This window comes from Homo sapiens, chromosome 17 (genome assembly GCF_000001405.40).
Source record: "Homo sapiens chromosome 17, GRCh38.p14 Primary Assembly".
In the NCBI taxonomy this organism is placed as follows: Eukaryota; Metazoa; Chordata; class Mammalia; order Primates; family Hominidae; genus Homo; species Homo sapiens.
This window is the reverse complement of record NC_000017.11, coordinates 66745310-66769578: the sequence shown is the minus strand read 5'-3', so window position 1 is coordinate 66769578 and position 24269 is coordinate 66745310. Positions and strand designations below refer to the sequence as shown.

Sequence of the window (24269 nt, the reverse complement as noted above, 5' to 3'; positions counted from 1 at the left end):
GGAGAAAAGCTTGTGCAGCAGGCCACACTGTTCTCAAGATGGTCCTGGGGGACTAGAATGTTAAAGGATAAATGCATAGGAAAAAAATCAACATATTTGTAACTCAGCAGCTAGCTACTGAAGTACTTCTCTAACAGTTCAATCCAAAGCAAAGTATTAAACACAGGAAAATTAAGATCTGATTCATACTGGCTATTTGGCAATACTATTTTTTTTTTTTTTTGAGACAGTGTCTTGCTCTGCTGCCCAGGCTGGAAGGCAGTGGCATAATCATAGCTCAATGCAGCCTCAACTCCTGGGCTCAAGCAATCCTCCCACCCAGCCTCCTAAGTAGCTGGGACCACAGGCATGCACCACCACACCCAGATAATTTTTTAACAATTTTTTTAGAGACAGGATTTTGCTTTGTTGCATAGGTGTGTTGGGATTACAGGTATCAGCCACTATGCCCAGCCTGGAAATGCCTATTTTAACTGAAATGAGTTGTCCCTTCCACAGCCCGTCAGTCTAAAAGATCAAGAGCTGATTTATACACTGGATTCTCATTTCAAACTAACAAAAACAAAGCCATTTCCTTGAGAATAGTGGCAGTATCAAGTCTGCTTATCCATTCTCCACTTAGCACATGCTTAGTACACTTAACCTACACCCTTAAGCAAAGGAAAAAAATCCATTAAAACTGCTCGGCCAACTCCTGAAAGCCACTACTTACCTCCCAATATGGTTTGTGTCCATAAACCATATCGTGTCCCCACCCAAATCTCATCTCAAATTGCAATCCCCACCTGTTGGGGGAAGGTCCTGGAGGGAGGTGATTGGCTCATGGGGGCGGATTTCCCCTTGCTGTTCTCCATGATAGTGAGTGAATTCTCACAAGATCTGATGGTTTAAAAGTGTTTGGCGCTTCCCGCCTTGTTGTCTCTCTCTCTCTCCCCTGCTCCGCCATGGTAAGACATGCTTACTTCCCCTCTGCCTTCCGCCATGATTGTAAGTTTCCTGAGACCTCCTAGTCATGCTTCTTGTTAAGCTTCTTTACTTCGGAAATTACCCAGTATCAGGTAGTTCTTTATAGCAGTGTGAAAATGGACTAATTGCAGTGGGGGGATAATTTCACTTCAATTCCAGTGGTGTAAAACCTAGGTTAATGATAAAGATAAACCTACCCCAGAAAGCAAACTTAAAAATGAATAGGGGAAAGGCACAGTGGCTCATGCCTGTAATCCCAGTAGCTCGGGAGGCCGAGGCAAGAGGATCACTTGAGTCCAGGAATTGGAGACCAGCTTGGGCAACATAGCAAGACCCTAATCTCTCCCCCCCAAAAAAAAAAAAAAAAATGGCTGGGCATGGTGGCTCACGCTTGTAATCCCAGCACTTTGGGCGGCCCAGGCGGGCGGATCACTTGAGGTCAGGAGTTTGGGACCGGAGTGGCCAACATGGTGAAACTCTGTCTCTACTAAAAATACAAAAATTAGCTGGGTCCGGTGGCACACACCTGTAATCCCAGCTACTCAGGAGGCTGAGGCAGGAAAATGGGAGGCAGAGTTTACAGCGAGCTGAGATTGTGCCACTGTACTCTAGACTGGGCAACAGAGTAAGACTTCATCTCAAAACAAAACAAAACAAGTCAGTGGGAAGACGCTTAATAGGCTATCATATTGCCATATCAGAGAATAAATTAGAATGATAGGAGCAAACCTTCAGCATCAGATAGTATTCCCCAAACAGCCCATGTGCTCCCCTACATTTCATAATCTCCTCTGCTTTGGAGCCACATGACTAGTTCTGGCCAATGGACAGGGAGAGGAAGTGATGTTGCCCTTTTGGGTTGAGGCAATTAAAAGCCCATTTGCCTCCTGTCACTGTGATTCTAGGGGCCACCTGTTCCAGATGGCTCAGTTGCAAGATGGAGGAGGGTTGCCTGATTTGCATCAGACTGTGTGTGAGCAGTAAGGAAATATTGGTTGTGTTAAGCCACTGAGATTTCAGGGATTGCTGTGGCAGCAAGAGTTGTCCATTCTAAAAACTTCCTCCTTCATGTAAGTGAATCACACAATCTCAGCTTTTCTACAAATCCTGTCCTGACCAAGTAGAAGGGCAACAGAAATTCTCTTTGGGTGAGTGAAAATCCACCTTCTGGGCACCAAATGCAGGTTGTACCCACTACACACATCTTGTGTAATCTGATGATGCAGAGTTGTTATTACAGTCCGTCTTCACTCCGTACCAGCAGTAAGTTCTTGGAAACTGTGATTTTAAGCAAAACAACATACAGCAGGTCCTCAAATAACATCATTTCCTTATAATGCTGATGAGGGAGAAAAACCTAGTTTTGTTATACATCATTTCACTTGAAGTCACAGTTTCCAAGAACCTATCGATAATGTTAAGTGAGGTCTTACTGTATATTCTCATTTTATAGGGAGAAAATAGGTTCTCTAAGTTTAAAGACTTGCTCAAAGCCAATCAATTAATATGTGGAACTGAATACTGACACATTTATTTTAAAGATATAATTTTATCTTTTCAATGTATTTTCAAATACATTGATACTGGGATTAATGAAATATTAATCAAAGGGCCCAGAGGATTAAGATGATTTATTGGAAAGCATCATTTCAGTTGTTTTAAGTAACTATATTTCAAAAGCACTTGAATAAAATTTGCTCTTGTAACTATGTTAAACTATGTTTAACTTGGTTAAAGCCAGTCCCCACCATCTGTGTATGTTATGTTACTTGGTGTTTCATTAAATTTTTTTTTTTTTTTTTTTGAGAAGGAGTTTCGCTTTTGTTACCCAGGCTGGAGTGCAATGGTGCAATCTCTGCTCACTGCAACCTCTGCCTCCCGGGTTCAAGCAATTCTTCTGCCCCAGCCTCCTGAGTAGCTGGAATTATAGACTCCCACCACCATGCCCAGCTAATTTTTGTATTTTTAGTAGAGACAGGGTTTTGCCATGTTGCCCAGACTGGTCTCGAACTCCTGACCTCAGGTGATCCACCTGCCTTGGCCTCCCAAAGTGAGTTTGTTTTTAACAGTGGCAGGGCTGAAGCAACAGTGTTGCTGTGTGTATCAGGTAAAGGATCAGTGAGGGCTGAACAAAGGAGGTTATACTTTGTTTCCTATCCTATATTCTACAAATATCTGAGCAGTCTTGCCAACCACATCTCTCTGCTTGGGTGATGGAAACTGATGTCCGAATTGGAAAGCCATCAACAGGCAAGGGTGTGGGAGCCCTGTTTCTGGTCAGAAGGATTCATGAATCCTAAAGGCCATGGCCACCTGATTGGTTTTGCTTTAAGTTCTACAACAAGTTGGCTCCCAGCTGGCTCTTCATTTTCTATTTCCAAGGCATTAAATTCCCATGACTCCTTCTGATAACACGCTCTCCTTCCTCCAAGGCTTACCAAAAGCAGAATGCCAAGCGCCAAGGCTCGTTTTTCTCGTGACAGCACTCATCCTCATCAGCCGCATAGAGCCCGCCTGCTCAGCCACTGGGCCAAGATTACAAAGTCACTCTGAACACTGCAGTGCCTTCAATTGTAACAATAGGATGGGGTTTAGAATCTAGCCAGAGCATTTTTTCCCAGAGAAACGTGTCACCTTTGGCTTGTTGTGTACCAGATAACACGGGAGGTCCTGAAGATCTCAGTTACAGGTATAGGGCACAACCTCACCGCTGCAAATTCATTTTTGGAATAAAGCATATCTTTCTCTCAATGAGCAGTTGTGGTTAATAAATACCTCTGGTTAACCAAAGCCTCACTGTAAAAGGGAAAATAGTGTTAGAGAGCCCCACTGGAAGATAAACATTCAGATACACACGACTTAGGATGTTGGCTATACTGTCCCTATTCAGCTGTCTAGAGCCACTATCCAATACAGTGGCCACTGGCCACTTGTGGTTTCTGAGCAGATGAAATGTGGCTAGTCCAAACTGAGATGTGCTGTAGGTGTGAAATCCACATCATATTTTGAAGACTTAGTATAAAAAATGCAAAATAGCTCATATATATATATATATAAAGACATATATATATAAAGACATATATATATAAAGACAAATATAAAGACATATATATATAAAGACAAATATATATATATGGACAAATATGTATATATATGGATATATATATATATATATATATATATATATATATATAGACAAAGTCTTGCTCTGTCGACCAGGCCGGAATGCAGTGACACGATGACACGATCTCGGCTCACTGCAACCTCTGCCTCCCAGGTTCAAGCGATTCTCCCGCCTCAGTCTCCCGAGTAGCTGGGATTATAGGCACCCATCATTATGCCTGGCTAATTTTTATATTTTTGTAGAGATGGGGTTTCACCATGTTGGCCAGGATGGTCTTGAACTCCTGATCTCAGGTGATCTGCCTGCCTCGGCCTCCCAAAGCGCTGGGATTACAGGCGTGAGCCACCATGCCTGGCCTTCATTAAATGTTTTTATTAATAAATTAACTTCATCTGTTTCCTTTCCAACTTGTTAAAAACTTGGCTGCTAAACGCAGTTTCGGCTTGTATTTTACTTTTGTTGGACAGTGCTGGCTGAGACCCTCTGAATTCCACCGGCTCCTATGGCCCATTCTGGTTCTCTGGCTCTCATTGGTCTAGGGAGCCAGCTTTGGGCTGAGGACCAGGCTCAGAGACCATGGAATGGATGAGGAGACTCTCTTGTCTGTCCCCTATGGGGATAGGAGCAGGTGTCTCTGGCACTTGTGGGCCAATGTGGGCTTACAGCCAAGCCCAGGGCTGCCTGATATCCTGAAGCCCCAGGCAAGGGGCTGTGACGCCAATCTGGTTTCCCATAATGGAGAAACTCACAAAAGGAGAGGCAGAGTTGGCAAGAAGGGCTAGAGCTGGCGGATTTCCCTGCTGCACATGGGAGGTTGAGCTGTGGCTTCAAAGACAGACCCCCAACAAGGCCACTGTCATTCAATTTTACTGCTATTTGTCATTTAGATCATTATTATTATACTTACAAGAGCCAACTGCTTGGGGGAATGTCAGGATGTTACAAATGGCTGCCTGTCTTGTAAAAGTGAGATATGAATGAGCTTTCTTCCAGCCCGGGCACAGGACCAGGGCATGAAAGGGACCAGGGGGTAGCTTCTTGTCTTGTACAAGGCCAAGGGCCTGCAGCAGCTGGAAGGATGTCACTCCAAGGCCACCCAGCCTTCCACTCTCTACCAGGGCTTCACATTCAAATGCCTCCCAGAGAGGATGGGACTCCAGGAGCTTTCTAACTTCTGAAATCTCCAGCCTGGGAGAGCTTGAGGACGGCACAGGAAGGTTTTAGATGCCACTGGCAATATTGACAGTAGCTGTAACCAACATCACCACAGTAGGCATGTGCCGAGAGCCAGGCTCTTTAGCTCTGAAGCTCACCTAATCCTCATAAGGCCCATTGCAAAGGTGAGGAAATAAGGTACAGAGAGACACAGTAGCTTGTCCAATGTTACAGAGCTTGCAAGCAGCAACGCTTGGATTAGAACCCTGGTCATCGGCTTTGGCATCCATACTTCTGACCCTTTTTCTATACTGAAGGCCTTGATCCAGTGGGGTTCCCTAGACAGCTATGGTGGGTACTCGCCCAGTTTACATGAGTCCTGCTGAAAAGGGGCCCAAATGCTTAACAGGATCAAAACAGCCAAGATGCCTCCTTCACTCAGGAGCTCTTGGCTCTAAAGGCTTTTTCTTGAAGGAACCCACGGACCTATAAAGTACGTGTGTGGAGATTCACTCTCCTGTTCTCGGCTGCACTTGAACTGGGATTTCACTCTTCATTTTTGTGCTGTATGTATACAGCAAACCCCTAGAGCCCAATCTTAAATAAAAGGCCTGGCCACAAAAGCCTCTTCCCAAGCTGTCATTACAAAATAACGGTGGCCTTTATGCATAAAACACACTCAAGTCCTTTTACTGTTTCAGGGAAACAAAGAATATCCTTTCTTTTTCAAAAAACAAAAACATTTTGATGGAAAAATTACATTTGTTTTGAAAAACATCATCCATTCCCAAGGATAGAACACAGGACCCCAGAGGCACTCTTTACATGTAACATGGTCAAAGCACTGTCTGACGCGTCCAAACAGCACCATTTGGAAAGAAAGAAGACAGGCCTGAACGTTTTCTGGGTGTTCTGATCTGACAGCTGGGATCTTGGGTTTGATAACTGTCTCCTCCACTTGCTACTGTGGGACCCACAACTCCTGGAGCCTTTGTCATGTCTACTGAGACTGTCTGCCCCTACTCAACCCAGACTTCTCCCTGGTTGGGGCTGGGCCATCCACTTCTGTACCCAGCACCAGGACCTCAGGCACGGGGCAGACACAAGGTTGTGTTGGAGAAGTAGTGGATCTGATCCAAGACCACTCCATAGACACTGCCTACCTCTAAAGTGCAAAATCAAAAGGGCTGTTAGAATTGCTGGATTGCTAAGTCTGGAGGGATGATTTAGAAAAATGTTTTCAAGCTGGGCACAGTGGCTCATGCCTGTAATCCCAGCACTTTGGGAGGCCAAGGCGATAGGATCACTTGAGGTCAGGAGTTCAAGACCAGCCTGGCCAACATGGTGAAACTCTGTCTCTACTAAAAATACAAAAATCAGCTGGACGTGGTGGCACATGCCTGTGATTCCAGCTACTTGGGAGGCTGAGGCAGGAGAATCGCTTGAACCCGGGAGGTAGAGGTTGCAGGGAGCCATGATGCACTGCACTCCGGCCTGGGTAAGAGAGTGAGACTCCGTCTAAAACAAATTAAAATAAAATAAAAAAGGTGTTTTCAGGGTTCTGAAGAGGCTCCTGAGGCTCAAAGTGGCACAGTGGCTTGCTGAGGTCATTGGGCTGGTTAACAGCAAGGTCAGGAAGAGAGAGGCCTCAGGTCTCCTGACCGTGTCCTCTTTCTAAAGCATCAGAACAGAGACCAGAGCGTCATAAACAGAAAGCCCCGCAGCAGGGGAGAAGTGAAACACCCCCAGCTCTCAATCGAGATACTTCCTAATTAAACTCCTTTCCAATGGCATAGCCAAAGCTCAGAATACAAGCGGGAAGCAGAATGAGGTGAGAGAGCTCCGAACCCAACTGCTGGAGGCCAGGAGCTGTGTGACTTTGGGCAAGTTGGTTAGCCTCTCTGAGCCTCCATTTCCTCAGCTGTGATCTTGGGATTTCAGCACCCACCTGACAAGCAGGTGGTGGGGATTAAATGGCATTATGTGTATTAAAATGTGCTTACTGCAGCTGAGTATACATAACTCCATACTGCCTAACATTAGAAATAAGAACTGGCCTACCAGAAATAAGCAGGTGGGTGAAAGTTATTCAAGGAAATAAACTAAACTTGGCTCAGAGGGGGACAGAGGAAACATTTTGGTATATGTTAAACACTCAAATGATTGTTGGCACCTGAAAATTCTTAAGCGACAATAAACCTTCCATTCGTTCTTTCAGCAAATATTAATTTACTGTGTACCAGACATAGTAAATCAGAAGTGAATCAGTTACAGAAGTGAATCAAACAGATTTTTAAAAATCTCCCCTTAGGCAATTAAATTGATTTTTTACTGGAGCAGCAAAACTTCAGGCTTCTCTGTTTTCTTATGGTATTAGGACACCCTCCTTGGCCCTCTCCTTTGCTCACTCCCACTGAGTATGGCTGACTGTACATTTCTATGGGTTGGGCACTCTGCTAGGTATCACAGATTACCAAACTAACTGGGATAACAGACAAATACGCTAAGATACGATATCCAAGATCAAGGATCTTACTATGTCACATGGGAAATGACTACAATATTTGAAATCCTTGGACAAAGTGCATTATATAAAAAAAAAAGAAAACTGGCCGGGCACAGTGGCTCACATTTGTAATCCCAGCACTTTGGGAGGCCGAGGTGGGCAGATTACTTGAGGTCAGGAGTTCAAGACCAGCCTGTCCAAAAATTAGCCGGGTGTGGTGGTAAGTGCCTGTAATCCCAGCTGCTCGGGAGGCTGGGGCATGAGAATTGCTTGAACCTGGGAGGTAGAGGTTGCAGTGAGCCAAGATCGTGCCACTGCACTTTAGCCTGGGCAACAGAGCGAGACTCCATCTCAACAACAACCACCGCCAAATAAATAAGTAAAGAAAAATAAAGAAAATTACCACAAGATTAAAAACAAAGAGTCTAGAGTCCAAACTATGTATCTTTTTTTTTTTTTGAGACGGAGTCTTGCTCTGTCACCAGGCTGGAGTGCAGTGGCGTGATCTTGGCTCACTGCAACCTCTGCCTCCCGAGTTCAAGTGATTCTCCTGCCTCAGGCTCCTGAGTAGCTAGGACCACAGGCACACGCCACCACACCCGGCTAATTTTTGTATTTTTAGTAGAGACTGAGTTTCACCATGTTGGCCAGGATGGTCTCAATCTCCTGACCTTGTGATCCGCCCACCTCGGCCTCCCAAAGTGTTGGGATTACAGGTGTGAGCCACTGCGCCCAGCCTATGTATTTTCTATTTAGACAAAAATTGTGGCTCTATGTACAATTGGAGAAAACAGAAAATGATCTCTCTAATAGTAATTACACCAATGAAAGTGCTTTAAAATCTATTTAGAGTAGCCACCCTTTTTTACCTCCCTGTAAGAATGGGAAGCAAACAGCAGAACAGCCTAAGTACCCCTCCCAAAAAAGGTCAGAAGAGGATCAAATGAAAGCAGTGTTTGCAATTGTTTATACTGGCTGCAAACAGAAGCTAATTCCTACTATACATGTTGGATTCAACTTGCTAATATTTTGTTGAGGATTTTTGCATCTATGTTCATGAGAGGTATTAGTCTGTAGTTTTCCATGCTGGTGTTTGTTTATCATCCTTTAACATCCATGGGATCTGTAGTGATGTCCTCTTTCATTTATTAGTAACTTGTGCTCTCTCTTTTTCTTAATTTGACTTGAGGCTTATCAATTTTATTGATGTTTTCAAAGAACTTCCTTTTGGGTTTGTTGACTTTCCCTGTTTTCTATTTTCTATTTCATTGGCTTCTGCTCTAGTTTTTATTTTCTTTTGCTGACTGTGGATTTAATTTGCTCTTCTTTCTCTAGCTTCCTAAGATGGAAGCTTAGGTGGTTGATTTTAGATCTTTCTTCTTTTCTAATATATGAATTCAATACTATAAGTTTCCTAAGCCCTGCTTTAATTGCACCGTATAACATTTGATAAGTCGTATCTACGTTTTCATTTATTTAACAATATTTTAAAATTTCCTTTTAGATTTCTTCTTAGACCCACACTATTTAGAAGGGTTCTTTAATCTTCAAGTATTTTGGAATTTTCTAGCTATCTTTGTTATTGATTTTTAGTTTAGGTCTATTGTGGTCTGAGAGAAGACACTGCATGGTTTCTATTATTTTCAGTTTGTTAAGGTGTGTTTTACAGCACAGAATGTGGTCTATATTGGTGAATGTTCTATGTGAGCTTGTGAAGAATGTATGTTATTCTGCTGTTGTTGGATGAAGTAGAGTCTACAGGACAGTATTGCTGAGTTCAACTCCGTCCCTACTGATTCTCTCCTTGCGGGATATGTCTATTTCTGATAGAGGGGCACTGAAGCCTTCAAATAAAATAGTGGATTCATGTATTTCTACCTGCAGTTCTATCATGTTTGGCCGTATGTATTTCAATGCTCTGCTGTCAGACGCACACATTAACAACTGCTATGTTTTCTTGGAGACTTGACCCCTTTATCATTATGTAATGCCCTTCCATGATAACTCTCCTTGCTCTGAGGTCTGCTCTAGCTGCAATTAATATAGTGACTCCTAATTTCTTTGATTAGTATTAGCATGATATATCTTTTATATCCACTTACTTTTAATCTACATGTCTTTATACTTAAAGTGGATTTCTTGCATAGAGTTAAGTCTTGTTTTTTGATCTAGTCTGGCAATCTTCTAATTGCTGCATTTAGACCAATGACTTTGAAAGTTATTTGTGATATAACTGGATTAATCACTGCTATATTTGTTATTGTCTTCTATTTGTGGCCCTTGTCCATTTTTTTTTTTTTGTCTCCCACTCTTTTTCTGCCTCTTGCGGGTTTAGCTGAGCATTTCATATGATTCCATTGTTTCTTTTCTTAGCATATCAGTGACTTCCTTTTTTCCTTTTCTTAGTGGTTGCCCTAGAATATGCAATATATATTTACAACGAAACCAAGTCTACTTTCTTTTTTTTTTTTTGAGACGGAGTCTCGCTCTGTCACCCAGGCTGGAGTGCAGTGGCGCCATCTTGGCTCACTGCAAGCTCTGCCTCCCGGGTTCACGCCATTCTCCTGCCTCAGCCTCCCGAGTACCTGGGACTACAGGTGCCCGCCACCACGCCCGGCTAATTTTTTTTGTATTTTTATTAGAGATGGGGTTTCACCTTGTTAGCCAGGATGGTCTCAATCTCCTGACCTTGTAATCCGCCCGCCTCGGCCTCCCAAAGTGCTAGGATTACAGGCATGAGCCACCACGCCCAGCCCAAGTCTACTTTCAAATAACACTGTAACACTTCATGCATAGTGAAAGTAGCTATGATAACAAAATAATCCTAATTCTTCCCTCTTATCCCTTCTATCACTGCTCTCGTTCATTTCACTTATACATAGGATATGCACACACACTAGAATATGTTATTATTTTGAAAAAAACTCATGTTAGATCAAGAATACTAAAAGTATTTTACTTTCACCTATACCTTCTCTGATGCTCTTGTTAGTTTTTATTTCATAATCATAAACTTAACTCTGCAATTCAGCTAGGCATGGAAGGGAATAAGGAAAATATGGAACCCAAGGAACTGCAGCAAGAGCACAAAGATGAGAGGCTACTGCGAGCGAATGGGGTGGAGGGGTGCTCTCCTGAGCTAAGGAAGGAATGTCTGGTGGTTAAGATAGAACATGAGTCAAATTTATTAAGAGTCGTCCACAGTCAGCAATGATGAGCTTCTTGCTGGCCTTGGCATTCTTGGACCCAAAGTGCTCCATGGTTTCCACGATATTCTCTTCACCTTGCCAAAGACCACATGCATGCCACTCTGCCATTCAACCACTCAGCCTTGGCAGTGCAGATGAGAAACTGGGGACCATCTGTATTGTGTCTAACATTTGCCATGGACAAGATGCCAGGACCTGTATGCTTCAGGATGAAGTGCTCACCATCAAATTTCTTCCCGTAGATCAAATTTCTTTCTTGATACCAGTAAATTTTCTTGGAAATTTGATGGTGTGTGAAGTAACCACTCTGACACACAAACCCTGGCATGATTCTGTGAAAGCAAAGAGCCCTTATAACCAAATCATTTCTCTCCAGTGCTCAGAGCACAAAAATTTTCTGCTGTTTTTGGAATGTAGTCTGCAAACAGCTTGAAAGAGATGCGGCCTCATGTTGAAGAACACAGTGGGGCTGCCCACGGCTGGTGCAGGGGGCTATGGGTGGTGGCAGCATCTGCAAAGCCTGCCCTTCCTTGCCCCATGGAGATCCAAGTTTCTGACCTATGTCACTTTCCTTCTCTCTAAAGAACTTCTTTTGGCCGGGCGCAGTGGCTCACGCCTGTAATCCCAGCACTTTGGAAGGCTGATGCGGGTGGATCACGAGGTCAGGAGATCGAGACCATCCTGGCTAACACAGTGAAACCCTGTCTTTACTAAAAATACAAAAACATTAGCCAGGCATGGTGGTGGGCACCTGTAGTCCCAGCTACTCGAGAGGCTGAGGCAGGAGAATGGTATGAACCTGGGAGGCGGAGCTTGCAGTGAGCCGAGATGGCGCCACTGCACTCCAGCCTGGGGGACAGAGCAAGACTACATCTCAAGAAAAACCCAAAAAACAAAAAAAATTCTTTTAACATTTCTTGCCAGGCTGGTCTACTGGCAACACATTTCCTTTGTTTTTGTCTGAGAAAGTCTTTATTTCTCCTTCCCTTTTGAAGGACAATTTTGCAGGGTACACAATTCTAGGTTCGTTTTTTTTTTTTTTTTTTTCCTCCCAAAGCTTTAAATATTTCACTCTACTGTCTTTGCCCTTCTTTAGGTAACGTGTTGCTTTCCCCGCTCTGGGCTTCCCTCAGAATTCTTTGATTTTCTGCAGTTTGAATATGATATGCCTAGCTTTTTGTTTTGTTTGAGCATTTGTCCTACTTTGTGTCATTTGAGCTTCCTGGATCTGTGATTTGGTGTCTGACATTAATTCAGGGGACATTCTCTGTCCCAATTGCTTCAAACATTCCTTGTTTCTTTCTCTCTTACGTCTCCTTCCAGTGTTCCCAGGGCATATATCTTTTGTAGCTGTCCCACAGTTCTTGGATAGTCTGTTCCATTTTTTTTTTTTTTTCAGTCTTTGCTTTTCCGTTTTGGAAGTTTTTACTGCCATATCCTCAGGCTCAGTCACCCCAGACTCAGCTGTGTCCAGTCTACAGATGAGCCCATCAAAGGCATTCTTCATTTCTGCTCCAGTATTTCCGATCTCTAGCATCTTTTCTTTCTTGGAATTTCTCTCTGCTTAACACTGCCCATCTGTTCTTGCATGCTGTCTACTTTTTTCCACTAAAGCCCTTAGCAAATTAATCATAGTTTAAAAAAATTCCTGGTTATGGCCAGGCACGGTGGCTCACGCCTGTAATCCCAGCACTCTGGGAGACTGAGGCAGGCGGAACACTTGAGGTCAGGAGTTCAAGACCAGCCTGGGCAACATGGTGAAACCCTGTCTCTACTAAAAATACAAAAAATTAGCTGGGCATGGTGGCTCATGCCTGTAATCCCAGCTACTTGGGAAGCTGAGGCCGGAGACTCGCTTGAACCCAGGAGGCGGAGGTTGCAGTGAGCTGAGATCATGCTACTGGACTCCAGCCTGGGTGACAGAGCAAGACTCCATCTCCAAAACAAAAAAAAACCCAAAAACCAAAAAACAAAACTCCTGGTTATCATTCCAACATCCTTGCCACATTTGAGTCTGCATCTGATGCTTGCTTCATCTCTTCAAATTGCTTTCTTTTTTTTTTGCCATTTAGTGTGCTGTAATTGTTTTCTTGAGGGCTGGACATGGCACACTGGGTGAAAGGAACTGTAGTACATGAACCTTTAGTGATGTGGTGGTGAGGTGTGGAGAGGGGAAGTGTGCTACGGTCCGACGATGAGGTCTCTGTCTTGTGGGGAGCCTGTGCCTGTGGATTGTGACCTTCACAAGTGCTTCTTGGTCTCCCCCCTCTCCTCTTGGGTGGGAGAGGATGGGTGGAAGGGATTGGAATCGGGGATGTCCCTTCTTCTAGGTAGGTTAGGGTCTGATAAAACCCCAGGAGATTAAGCTCACATTAGCGTCTCCTGAGGGAAGCCCTTGTTAAGAAGAACGGGATGCTCTGGCATATTTCACAATGGTTATTACTTTTCTCCTCTCCCTGCCAGAAGCATGAGGCGATTTTTCTCCAGCATTCACTGTGAGGACCCGGCAGCGCTTCCTGAGGGAAAACTCCAAAACGCGTGGAGCCCCCGTGACTGATTCTCAGACTTGTCCACACTTAGCCTCCAGCAATTTGCCGATTACGGATCAGGTTTTTGCACCCCAGCACTAGTAGCCAGGGAGGTTTCTGTTCTGGTAAGTTGTAATTATCTGTATCTGCCTGTCTGTCTAATTTTGGGGACAGTGGTTTGCCCTGTTACCTCATTTTTCCAATGGCTCTAGGGAGGCGAGAATTCTACCACTCAACCACCAATGCTGGTGCACTGGTCAGGAAATGAACCCAGGTCTCCCACGTGGGAGGCGCCAATGGCTCTAGGAAGAATTGTTGATTTTCCAGTCCAGCTTTTCACTTGTCAGGATGGAACGATGACGTCTAAGCTCCTAACATGCTGGACTGGAAACCAGAAGTCTGTACTTTTTCTGTGCAGAAAAGAACTGTACAATACTGGCTTGCAAGGTGCCTGGAAACAATTCAAGGCTGGGTGAGACAGCCCTGGGTGCTCAGCAAACACAAAGAACTGAAAAGGTGTTTGACTAAAAGAACAACCTTCAATAAAATAAGCCATAAGAAAAGACAAACACTTCACCAGTGGTGTCTCGCCCGCAAATAATGCCAGGCAGTGGGGTTCAGCGGTCTCCTGGGCTTTGGGCCAGGAAGCCAGGAGCGTGAAGTGGCCCCAGGACACCTGAATCATGTGTGATGAGGCGGTTATTAAGGAGGCGTGACTGGACTAACCTTCTGAAGGAGCCATAAATAAAACTCTGAATAAAGTGCTGGGCTTTTGATCTGGCAGAAAGGTGTTCTCCCCACCGCCACCCCATGCCGCGCTTCTCCAAGTCTGGAATGTGCACTGGGGGGGCGTGGGGTGCGATTTTCTGCGATCCTCAGAGGAGGCACTGACAATACTGGGTCAGGTGGTGGGAGGCAGCACCGTTTCAAGTCTTCATGGAATGCTTCCAAGGAAGCTCTTGTTTGGGATGAATCTCTTTTTAGCTCTTCGGTAAGGCTAGCTGATCCTGGCAGAAATCGGGAAGGTGACTGTGGAGCGACTGGGTCTAGAAAAACATTATCTAATTGAGTTGGGTCACCCGACCTTGGAATTGCATCCCCCGCCGCCAAATCCGTGTGCTGAAGCCCTAACCCCCAGTGTGACTGTTCTGTAGAGGTAAGGCCTTGAGGGAGGTAATTAGGGGAGAATGAACTCATCAAGGTGGGGCCCTGATCTGACAGGTGCAATTCCGTCCTTAGCATTTCCCAAGGACCTGGAAGGCCAAGTTTGACTTAAGAATTCATGGACCCCTGAGATTCCACTCCAGTATGTGGAGGCCTAAGAATGTAATATTGACATGGCCCACCCCACATCATCTAATCGACTTGGCCCACCGGACCTCTCCAGCGCCATGCCCAGCAAACTTCTTTAATTTCTTGTTACGTCAAAGAAATCAAACACCTCTTCAGATCCTCTCTTTTCCCCCACCGAGTTTTTCAGGAACCTCCTTAATGGTGAGATGCACTAAGAATGTAATATTGACTATAAATCAAATGTGAATCAGAGCCACCCCTGAGCACAGTCTTTAAGCCAGCACCGTGCTAGGTCGTACCCTCGTTTACCACTGGAGAAGTCGAGGCACAGCAAGCTCAAGTGAGGTGACCAGAGTCACACGCACAGTGGGGAGGTGGCAGATGGGGCCAGGATTCATCCTGGCTCTTGCTTTACTGTCGCACATGGTGCCCGCTCTGTGTAAGAAGGAGCTGTGAATGGGACAAAGACATCTGAGATGGTGCCCCTGCCCTCTGGGGCCTTTATTCCTCCTTCCTGTTCTGCTTGATAAGAGTGACAACGATGTTGATTGTATGAATACATACACATACATATATATATGAACATATATATGAAAAAAGATATGAATATATAAAATACATCTCGCTTTATAACATAATCTACTTGGCCCTAACCCACAACTCCCTATTGACCTAGGATGAGGCCATCTCTAACATGTGGGGTGAGGGAGCCGGGACAAGAATAACTAAGACTCACACAGCCTTTATCTAAATAGGAGTATTACAAATCAAGCCAACAGACGGTTAAATACAGTATGCTCTTTCCCACCCCTTGACACAAGTACCTTCCTGTATTGGTTGGCTTGAGCTACCCTTATAAAACACCACAGACTGGGTGGCTTAAACAACAGAAATTTCTCTTGGGTCTGGAGGCTGGAAGTCCAGGATGAAGGTGCCAGCAGGTGGGCTTCTGGTGAGGCCTCTCTTGGTGCCGTGCTGGCTGCCTCCTTCTCGCTGTGTCCTGACGTGGCTTTTATTCCATATGCACCCTCCTGTGGCCTCTTCCCCTCCCCGTAAGAACACTAATCCTATCAGATCAGAGCGCCACCTTGATGAGTTCATTCTCCCCTAATTACCTTCTTCAAGGCCTTATCTCTACAGAACAGTCACACTGGAGATTAGGGCTTTAGCACACGGATTTGTGGGGTGGGGGCGTGGGGATGCAATTCAGTCCTTTACATTTCCCAAGAACCTGGAAGGACAAGTTTGACTTAAGAATTCATGGACCCCTGAGATTCCACTCCAGTATGTGGAGGCCTAAGAATGTACTATTGACATGGGCCACCCCACTTCTCTTCCCAGGCCCTTTCCATCATAGCACCCCAACCTGCATGTCTAACTGCGTCCCACTGCCCCTGAAAACAGCCATCCACTGACTCCTCCACTGGCCACAGGAGTGCATACGCCAGCAGGGCGGTGTTCACAGGAAGGATGGATCTTGGCAAGAGGCCCTGGAAGGGAATTCCAGGCTCTGAGTACCCAGGTTGTTGTCTAAAAGGGGTCGGAGAGCAGGCTGTGAGTGGGCATTGGCCCTGCAGACTCTAACCCTATAAGGAGAGCCCAGCCTGGGGACTGGTGGGGAGAGGAGAGCCCACTAAGGTAGGGCTTAACAAACCATAGCCTGTAGGCCAAATCCAGTTTTTGTACAGCCTGTGAGCTAAGCATGCTTTTTACATTTTTAAATGTAAAATGATTTTGGCAAGAACAGTTGCTCAATTTTGCCTCTTGGTAAAAATCTAAAATTAAGATTTAGGAAAAGCCTATTTTTTATCTAGTCCCTGGCAGAGAAAGTTTGCTCAGCTCTGCTCTAAAACACAAGGCAGGGGCCCTCTTGCCTGGTCCTCACTGTCTTTGACCTGCAGAACGTGTTGGAAGTAACACAGTTCAGTTCCAGGTATAGACTTCAGCAGCCTGTGGCTTCTGTTTTTGGCCTTTTAGTAGCCAGCACCATGTCAAGAAGCTCAGTGACAAGTGGCTGCATGGAAAGAAGGACCAGGTAGAGGAGAACCCATGTGGCGTTGGCCAATAGCTGGAAGATACCTTGGGCCCTCCAGCCCCAGCAGAGCCATGGTAGGGATGTCCCTGCAGCAGCAAGGAGTCCACCTGCCGGGTCCTGATGGAGGCCCTGGCTCCAAGAATCGCAGCATTAACTTTATTTATTTGGTGACAGAGTCTTGCTGTTGCCCAGGCTGGAGAGCACTGGCATGATCTTGGCTCACCACAGCCCCCACCTCCCAGGTTCAAGTGACCCTCCTGCCTCAACCTCCTGAGTAGCTGGGACTACACAGGTGCCCACCACCACACCCAGCTAATTTTTTGTATTTTTAGTGGAGATGGGGTTTCACCATGTTGGCCAGGCTGGTCTCGAACTCCTGGCCTCAGGTGATCCTCCCACCCCGGCCTCCCAAAGTGCTGGGATTACGCGTGTGAGCCACCACGCCCAGCCCAACGTGATTATTGTTTTAAGCCATTATGTTCTGGGGCGATTACACATCAATAGATAATTGAAACAACTGCCAAATAATGGACAAGGCTTTCCGGAGTGCTCCCTCTGAGGCAGGCTAAGTCATTATGGCCAGACTCACTGAGCCCTCAAAGTTGGGCTTTCAGGAAGATGCTGTGATTATACCCTATTATACAGATGTCACCCCAAGTTCTTAAAATAGCAGTACTGTAGCCAGAGTTTATAATACAGTTTGGATCTGTGTCCCTACCCACATTTCATGTTGAAATGTAATCCCCAGTGCTGGAGGTGGGGCCTGGTGGGAGGTGACTGGCTCATGGGAGCAGTTTCTCATGAATGGTTTAGCATCATCCGCCTAGTGCTATTCTCGTGGCAGAGTTCTCATGAGATCTGGTTGTTTGAAAGTGTGTAGCACCTCCCTGCTCTCTCTCTTGCTCTGGCTATGGAAGATGTGCCTGCTTCCCCTTCCGCCATGATTGTAAGTTTCCTGAGACCCCCCCTAGCCATGCTTCCTGGGAGGAAGGAAGCAGCAGCCCTTGTCCCTGGTCTCTCCCTCTGAGGGTGGCAGGGGCATAGGAGGTGCTAGGGAAAAGCTGGGCAGGAGTCCCAGCTCAGCACCCACCTATAGGACCCTGCTCATCTCAGGCCTCCTCTGGGGTCAGCAGAGAAGCTGTGCAAAATGTTAATTATGCATCAGAACAAAATAACTGCTTGTATGGTAAAGGAATGAAGTGTGAGTTAGGAATAACTTGTGTCGTAAGAGCTTTATTAGCTGGATTAAAAGATTTTCCAGAACCAAGAAGTCTCAAAGTCTAGTGGATCTCTACAGATATGATTTGGAGACAGGGCAATAAGTGATACACTGAGGTGGCAACTGGCCGTGGATGGCATCAGGGCGCCAGCCTGTGCTCTGAGGCTGGCGGGCCAGCATTCTGCCCCTGCCATGTGCCATCTGTGAGCCCTGAGCAGGTCCCGTCTCCTCTCCAAGTCTCCTTTACAGTGTTTGTAAAGCATGAATAATACCACTTACCTTAGAGGGCTATTGTAAGAATTAAATGTGATAACAGGCGTTAAGTGCGTGGCGCATAGCAAGAAATGAACAAATGTTAGTAATCTCTCATGATACCCACCTCCATCCTGCCATCGCCTGGGCAATGTTACAAAGAAAGAGGCGAAATAAGCTCAGAAATCTCTGACCCACTTTTACAGGATTTAAGCAAATCCCTAAATAAAGGGCTAATTAAAGCATGCCACCAAATACCAGGAGTAAAAATCTAACAGAGCATTATCTGAGCTCTGAAAGCCAATAACAGGCCTGTGAGAGCAGCTTACTGGCACATGTGGAGTGACATGTTGCTTGGGTAGCATTGGAGCTGATGTCTGCAGGCCCTTCCTCCCAGGGTAACAGTCACCGCAGGGAAAAGCTGCTCAGTCCTGTGTTCAAAACCAAGTCTGCATTGAACTGGGGAGGTGGGGAAAATTAACAAATCTCTGTGCCTCAGTTTCACCATCCAGGAATTAGAATTGACTTAGGATTAAACAAAATAAACAAGGTGCTCAGCCCTGGTCTGGGATGTAGCAGGCATTTGCGAAGGGGCAGCGAATCCACCAGGAGCTGGTTACTTCTGGAGGGAGGATTGGAAGTGGGGAGGCTCAGAAGAAAGGAGCGGGCCACATTTGTTTCATAGACCACAATATCGCAGAAGGTGCCCAGTGCTCTAGAGAAGAGGCTAAACTGATTAAACTCCAAGGCGGGGAGAATTATGAGACAGTTAAAGAGCTGCAGGCAGACAATACAATATATGAGATAATAAAACCAACATAATTCCTAGAAAAGATCTGAGAATCGCACAACTTAAAGAAGACCCCAAAGGAAAGCCTGGCTTTGGCTCTTTAAATATTTCTTTGAGGGAAAGCGGCGGCTTCATTTTCTCTCTTGCAACGCTGGAGTCACTGGACCATGACCCTCCATAGAGGGAAATTGGCCTTTGATAGAAAGAAAGCCGCCCTTTGGTTTATCATTCTGTTTCTTTCATCAAGTGCTTTTCTTTGCTCCTGCCCATGCTGGGCTGGTGCGGGGCCCATGGTTCAGAAGCGGCTGATCTCAGAGGAGCCATTGCTGGTGCTGATTGGCTTTTCTCTCCCTGTATCTCATTCTCCCCCTTTCTTCTTGGTGGTGAGTGCTAATTTACTGCCTGACTGCCCGGCTGCATGTATATACCACATGAGTTATTTTCTCTTTGAACCTTTAGATACTCTTATTTTCTATCCCTCTCTACAATCCTTTCCCCAGAGGCCAGGAGAAGTCTCTGGGGTCAGCTGGGGCTGTCTGGGGGACCTGGGATGATGTCCCATTGACCTTCACTCAGGTCCCCCAACCTGCTGGATCTCTTCAGCCGATGACATGAGGTGGTGTGGCCCTTCTCTGCACTGTCACATACCATCAGCCCAACACCTGTGATGGCCTTGGAAGTCACCCTTCCAATCACCTGGCTAAAGAGTTCCACCCCTCTCAGTCTCCAAGGCTTCATCTCTGTCCTCCTGCGGTGTCTCCCCTGCAGATTCCTAGGTGGCCACATCCAGGAGCGCAGCGTGCAGGCACCCATGCCAAGTACACACTGAGTGCCAGGCACGGCTCCAGACCCTGGGGTAGGGGCACAGCAGCCAACACCAGATGAAATTCTGCCCGTGGTGGAGCTTGGTGAGATAGACTGAAAAATCAGTTCAGGAGTACATCTTTGTCCCTCCAAGGGGGATGAGTGCCATGAAAAACAGCAGGGACAGGAGTCAGCAGTCCTGGATGGGACTGGAGGTTTGCAGGTTCAAATAGGGTCACCAGGGCAGGGGGCCTCCCCAAGGTGATCTCTGAGCAGATGCCTGGGGTGGGACATGCTGGGTGGAAGGAAAAAGAAGAGGAACTGGCCTGAGGATGGAGAGGTCTGGCAAATTGGAGAGTGGAAAGGGAGCTAGTGCAATGGGTCTAGAGAGCTCCGGAGGGGTGGAGGGCAGGGGGAGGAGGTCAGGGAGGGAATGGGGCGGGGAGGCAGGTGCTAAAGGGTCTTGGGGCCCCTGTGAAGGCTTTGGCTTCTCCAAGATACCCAATTCAGAGCCAAGATACCTAATACCCGCCCGTCCTGGTGTCACCCTCTGAAGATGCAGACTGGCCAGGGAGGGGGTTCCAATTCAGAGCCAAGATACCTAATACCCGCCTGTCCTGGTGTCACCCTCTGAAGATGCAGACTGGCCAGGGAGGGGGTTCCAATTCAGAGCCAAGATACCTAATACCCGCCCGTCCTGGTGTCACCCTCTGAAGATGCAGACTGGCCAGGGAGGGGGTTTCAGCTTTCCTGCCACCGTGAGGTCTCCTGTGTGCCCCTCCCCTTCCTCCTGAAGCTGAGAGGGAAGGGCATCCTTACCACGGGTGCCCCATTCCTTCTTTCTCCCTCCCTCCTTCCCGCCCTCCCTCTCTCTCTCCGGCATTTCCCCTTTGGCTTAGAAACTTTGGCTCAAGTTTCTGCCACGTAAATGATGCTTCCTTCAGCCTGCCTTCCTGGGAGTGACTGTCCACTTTCTTTCCTTCCATTTACCATAGATGTCCTCAAAGGAAGGTCCTCCTGCTGCGCTGCTGATGCTCACGCTCACCCCATCCCGGCATCATTACCAACACTGCTCTCTCAGGGATCATCAAGTCCCAGTGGCTAGATCTTCTGCCCATCCCACTCCCGTCTGCTGGACCTCCTCAGTCCCTGGCCACCCTGACTTCATGAACATTTGCCCTCCTTGGGGTCCAAGAACGAGACGGCTGTCTAGTGCTTCCACCTCTATGGACATCCTTTGGTCTTTATTCCTCCCATCTTTAATATGCTCCCCCCAAATATTAATAGGACTCTTGACCTCAAGAAGACAGGTCATAGGTGATAGCCCATTGGCTGAATTTCACTTGTATACACATGTTAAAAAACATATGTTAGGGCCAACTTGGAACAATTAGGTGTATTTTACATAAAAATACAGGAATCTGGCTGCTGTCCCAGGCATCAGTGGGCTGGCATTCCTGTAGGGCGGGAACGCAGAAGCTGTGACCCCAGAATGGCTCTTCAGCTCTCTGGACCCATGAAGCCCCCAGTCCTCCCAGGAGTATGCCCATCTGCTGATAGGCAGCTGGCTGCAGGTCAGGCAACCACGTCTGCAAGCTTCTTCCCTGGAAATTTCAACCGTGTTGGATGCACCATCTGTTACTGCTGAGAATACTGCCCTGTCCACCTCTCAAAATCCACAGTCCTCCTGGGCTGCAGTCACTGATTTCCAGCTGCCTCCAGCCCCAAGGCCCTCCTCCCAGCTCTCCTCTGGGCTCCTCTTTCTGGCCCGGCACCCCCCGGCCTGGAACAGTGCCCAGCACTCGGGGGGCACCCTGAATATGCCAACAGATCGATGCCCACGTGCTGGGGAGGGGCTTGCGTGTGGCTGGATCACCCTTGGTTTCTAAGGGATCTCCCTGGGGATAACAGCTGGAATGCAATTCTGCGTCATTCACTGCATCTCTGATCATGACTCAGGTCCCTGATTCACGTTGAGATAAGTGAGTGGCCAAGAAAACGTGGCCCAAACTGAGTGCTCACTTTCACCTGCTTTTTCTCCCATATCTATGGAGACAATGCAATAGGTAAAAAGAACGTACGGGCTCCGGTCAGAACATCTCGGATCCAAATCCCACCTTTGCTCTTACCAGCTATGTGACCTTGGGCAAGTCACTGAACTTCTACTCATACTAACATGTGGCAAGTCAGAAGTGCTCAGGGAGGTTGGTGCAGAGAAGTCAGTGTATCACGGGTGATGTCCTTTGTGTGTGGTCTAACGTAGCCCCCGCCATAGCGATGCTGTGAGGAAGACTCTACATGGCACACTTGAAAAAGCTTCACTTCAGGGCCGGGCACAGTGGCTCAGGCCTGTAATTCTAGTGCTTTGGGAGGCCAAGGCAGGAGGACTGCCTGAGCCCAGGAAATTGAGTCCAGTCTGGGCAACACAGCGAGACCCCCATCCCTACAAAATTTTTTTAAAATTAGCAGGCGTGGTGGCACATGCCTGTAGTCCCAGTTACCCAAGAGGTTGAGGTGGAAGGATCACTTGAGCCCAGGAGATTGAGACTGCATGGAGCTATGATTGCTACTGCACTCCAGCCTGGACGACAGAGCGAAACTCTGTCTTTAAAAAAATAAAGTTCTTAGAACAAAATTATATAAAATAAATAAAATGAAAAGCTTTGCTCTCACTGCAGTAGGGGGTTCTCGGGACACAGGCCAGAAGCAGACACTCTTCCTGCTTCTCTTTCTTCCAGGCAAGAGTGCGCAATGCTAGTGTCTGGAGCCTGATTCTTGGCTGCTGGAATCTACTTGACTTGTGACTGGATCACACACGCCCAGAATAACTAAGTTTCAGAGATGGATTAAATCCAAATGAAGCCTTTGCTTGGCCTGCTCAAGGACTCTCATTGACCTTGAAGAATTCTTTCTATGTCAAAGCAAAGAGGACCCTCTGTGTCAGCTTTAGGAATCATTTTCTGATGAGTGCTCCTTCTGTGGGTGTCCATTTCAACTTCAAACTCTCATCTGTTAGTGACATTTTTTGCCTCAGCTCGGCTTCGCTGCCTAAGGAGACGCTAAGGTATTAATCGATTTCAAGGTTTTTGAACAAATAGCCATAAATACTTAAGCCTCCGCTTTGCCTATTAAGGAGAATGCCATGCAAGATAATGATTTTGTCTCTGCCTGACAGGAGTATTTGCACAGAGGACAAATACTATTTTAACCTTTCCACACATTTTGAATTTTCCACACGAAATATTATTTTAACCTTTCCACACATTTTGAAACCTTGAACCTATCTGATCTTTCTCTATACTGTAAGTATTCGTGTGGCCAAATATGCCAAATTACTGAACACTTATGAGGAAAAAATGCTAGCAAAAGCTGGAACAGGCTAGGCACAGGTGGTGGCACACACCTGTACTACCAGCAACCTATGGACTGAGGCAGGAGGATCCCCTGAGCCCAGGAAGTTGAGGCTGCAGTGAGCTGTGGCACTCCAGCCTGGGCAACAGAGTGAGGCTCTGTCTCAAAAAAAAAAAAAAAAAAAAAAAAAAAGCAAGGCAACAAAAAAGGTGAAACAACCTTAAGGTGATTTTCCAAAGCAGTGGTGCCTGATGTTTTCAACGAAAGCTGACTGGAATCCACATATAGATTTTCATTCCTGCTGGTCAGTATGATGTCACTTCTTATAAACTGAAAGCACTTGGAGGGCAAGGGCCATCTGATGTCTTTTTGTATCCCTCGTGGCACCATGCTTAAGCACAGTAAGCACGCAGAGTGCTGTCTGGATACGTGAGTCGCTCAAGTTTCGAGCAGTTTAGTGTAGTGAGCAGTGCAAAGGTTTGGAGGTGACCTGGGCTTGGGATCAAAGCCTAATTCTGGCATTTCTCAGTAACGTGGCCTTAGACACGTTACTAACCACCTCTGTCACTTCATCTGAAACACAGATCTGATGCTACCTCCCTGTGGGGCTTGTCATGAGGATTAAATGAGAGAAGGTTTATTGTATTTATTTATTTATTTATTTTTGAGACGGTGTCTCACTCCGTTGCCCAGGCTGGAGTGCAGTGGCACGATCTTAGCTCACTGCAATCTCTGCCTCCCAGGTTCAAGCGATTCTCCTGCCTCAGCATCCTGAGCAGCTGGGATTACAGGCACCTGCCACCACACCCGGCTAATTTTTGTATTTTTTAGTAGAGATGGGGTTTCACTATGTTGGCCAGGCTGGTCTTGAACTTCCACCTCAATTGATCCACCTGCCTTGGCCTCCCAAAGCACTGGGATTGTAGGAGTGAGCCACTGTGCCCAGCCAAGAGAAAGTTTATCATGTGCCTGGCACACGGTAGACAATAGAAGGTGGTCACTTCCTCTATTATTGCTTGTACAGTAGATGTAAGGAG

General features: G+C 46.4%; 1 protein-coding gene across 6 annotated transcripts in view, besides 1 other annotated feature; it reads right to left on the bottom strand.

The window, feature by feature from the left end:
* The window catches only part of PRKCA (protein kinase C alpha), a 508131-nt gene that overhangs the window by 41165 nt on the left and 442697 nt on the right, over nt 1-24269 (bottom strand). The window lies entirely within an intron of this gene.
* Nucleotides 21589-22089: an enhancer, noted in NCBI's record as "H3K4me1 hESC enhancer chr17:64743608-64744108 (GRCh37/hg19 assembly coordinates)". NCBI's record gives its function as "activates a minimal SCP1, AML or CMV promoter by ChIP-STARR-seq in naive H9 embryonic stem cells {active_cell/tissue: H9 hESC(naive)}" and the evidence as "EXISTENCE:reporter gene assay evidence [ECO:0000049][PMID:30033119]".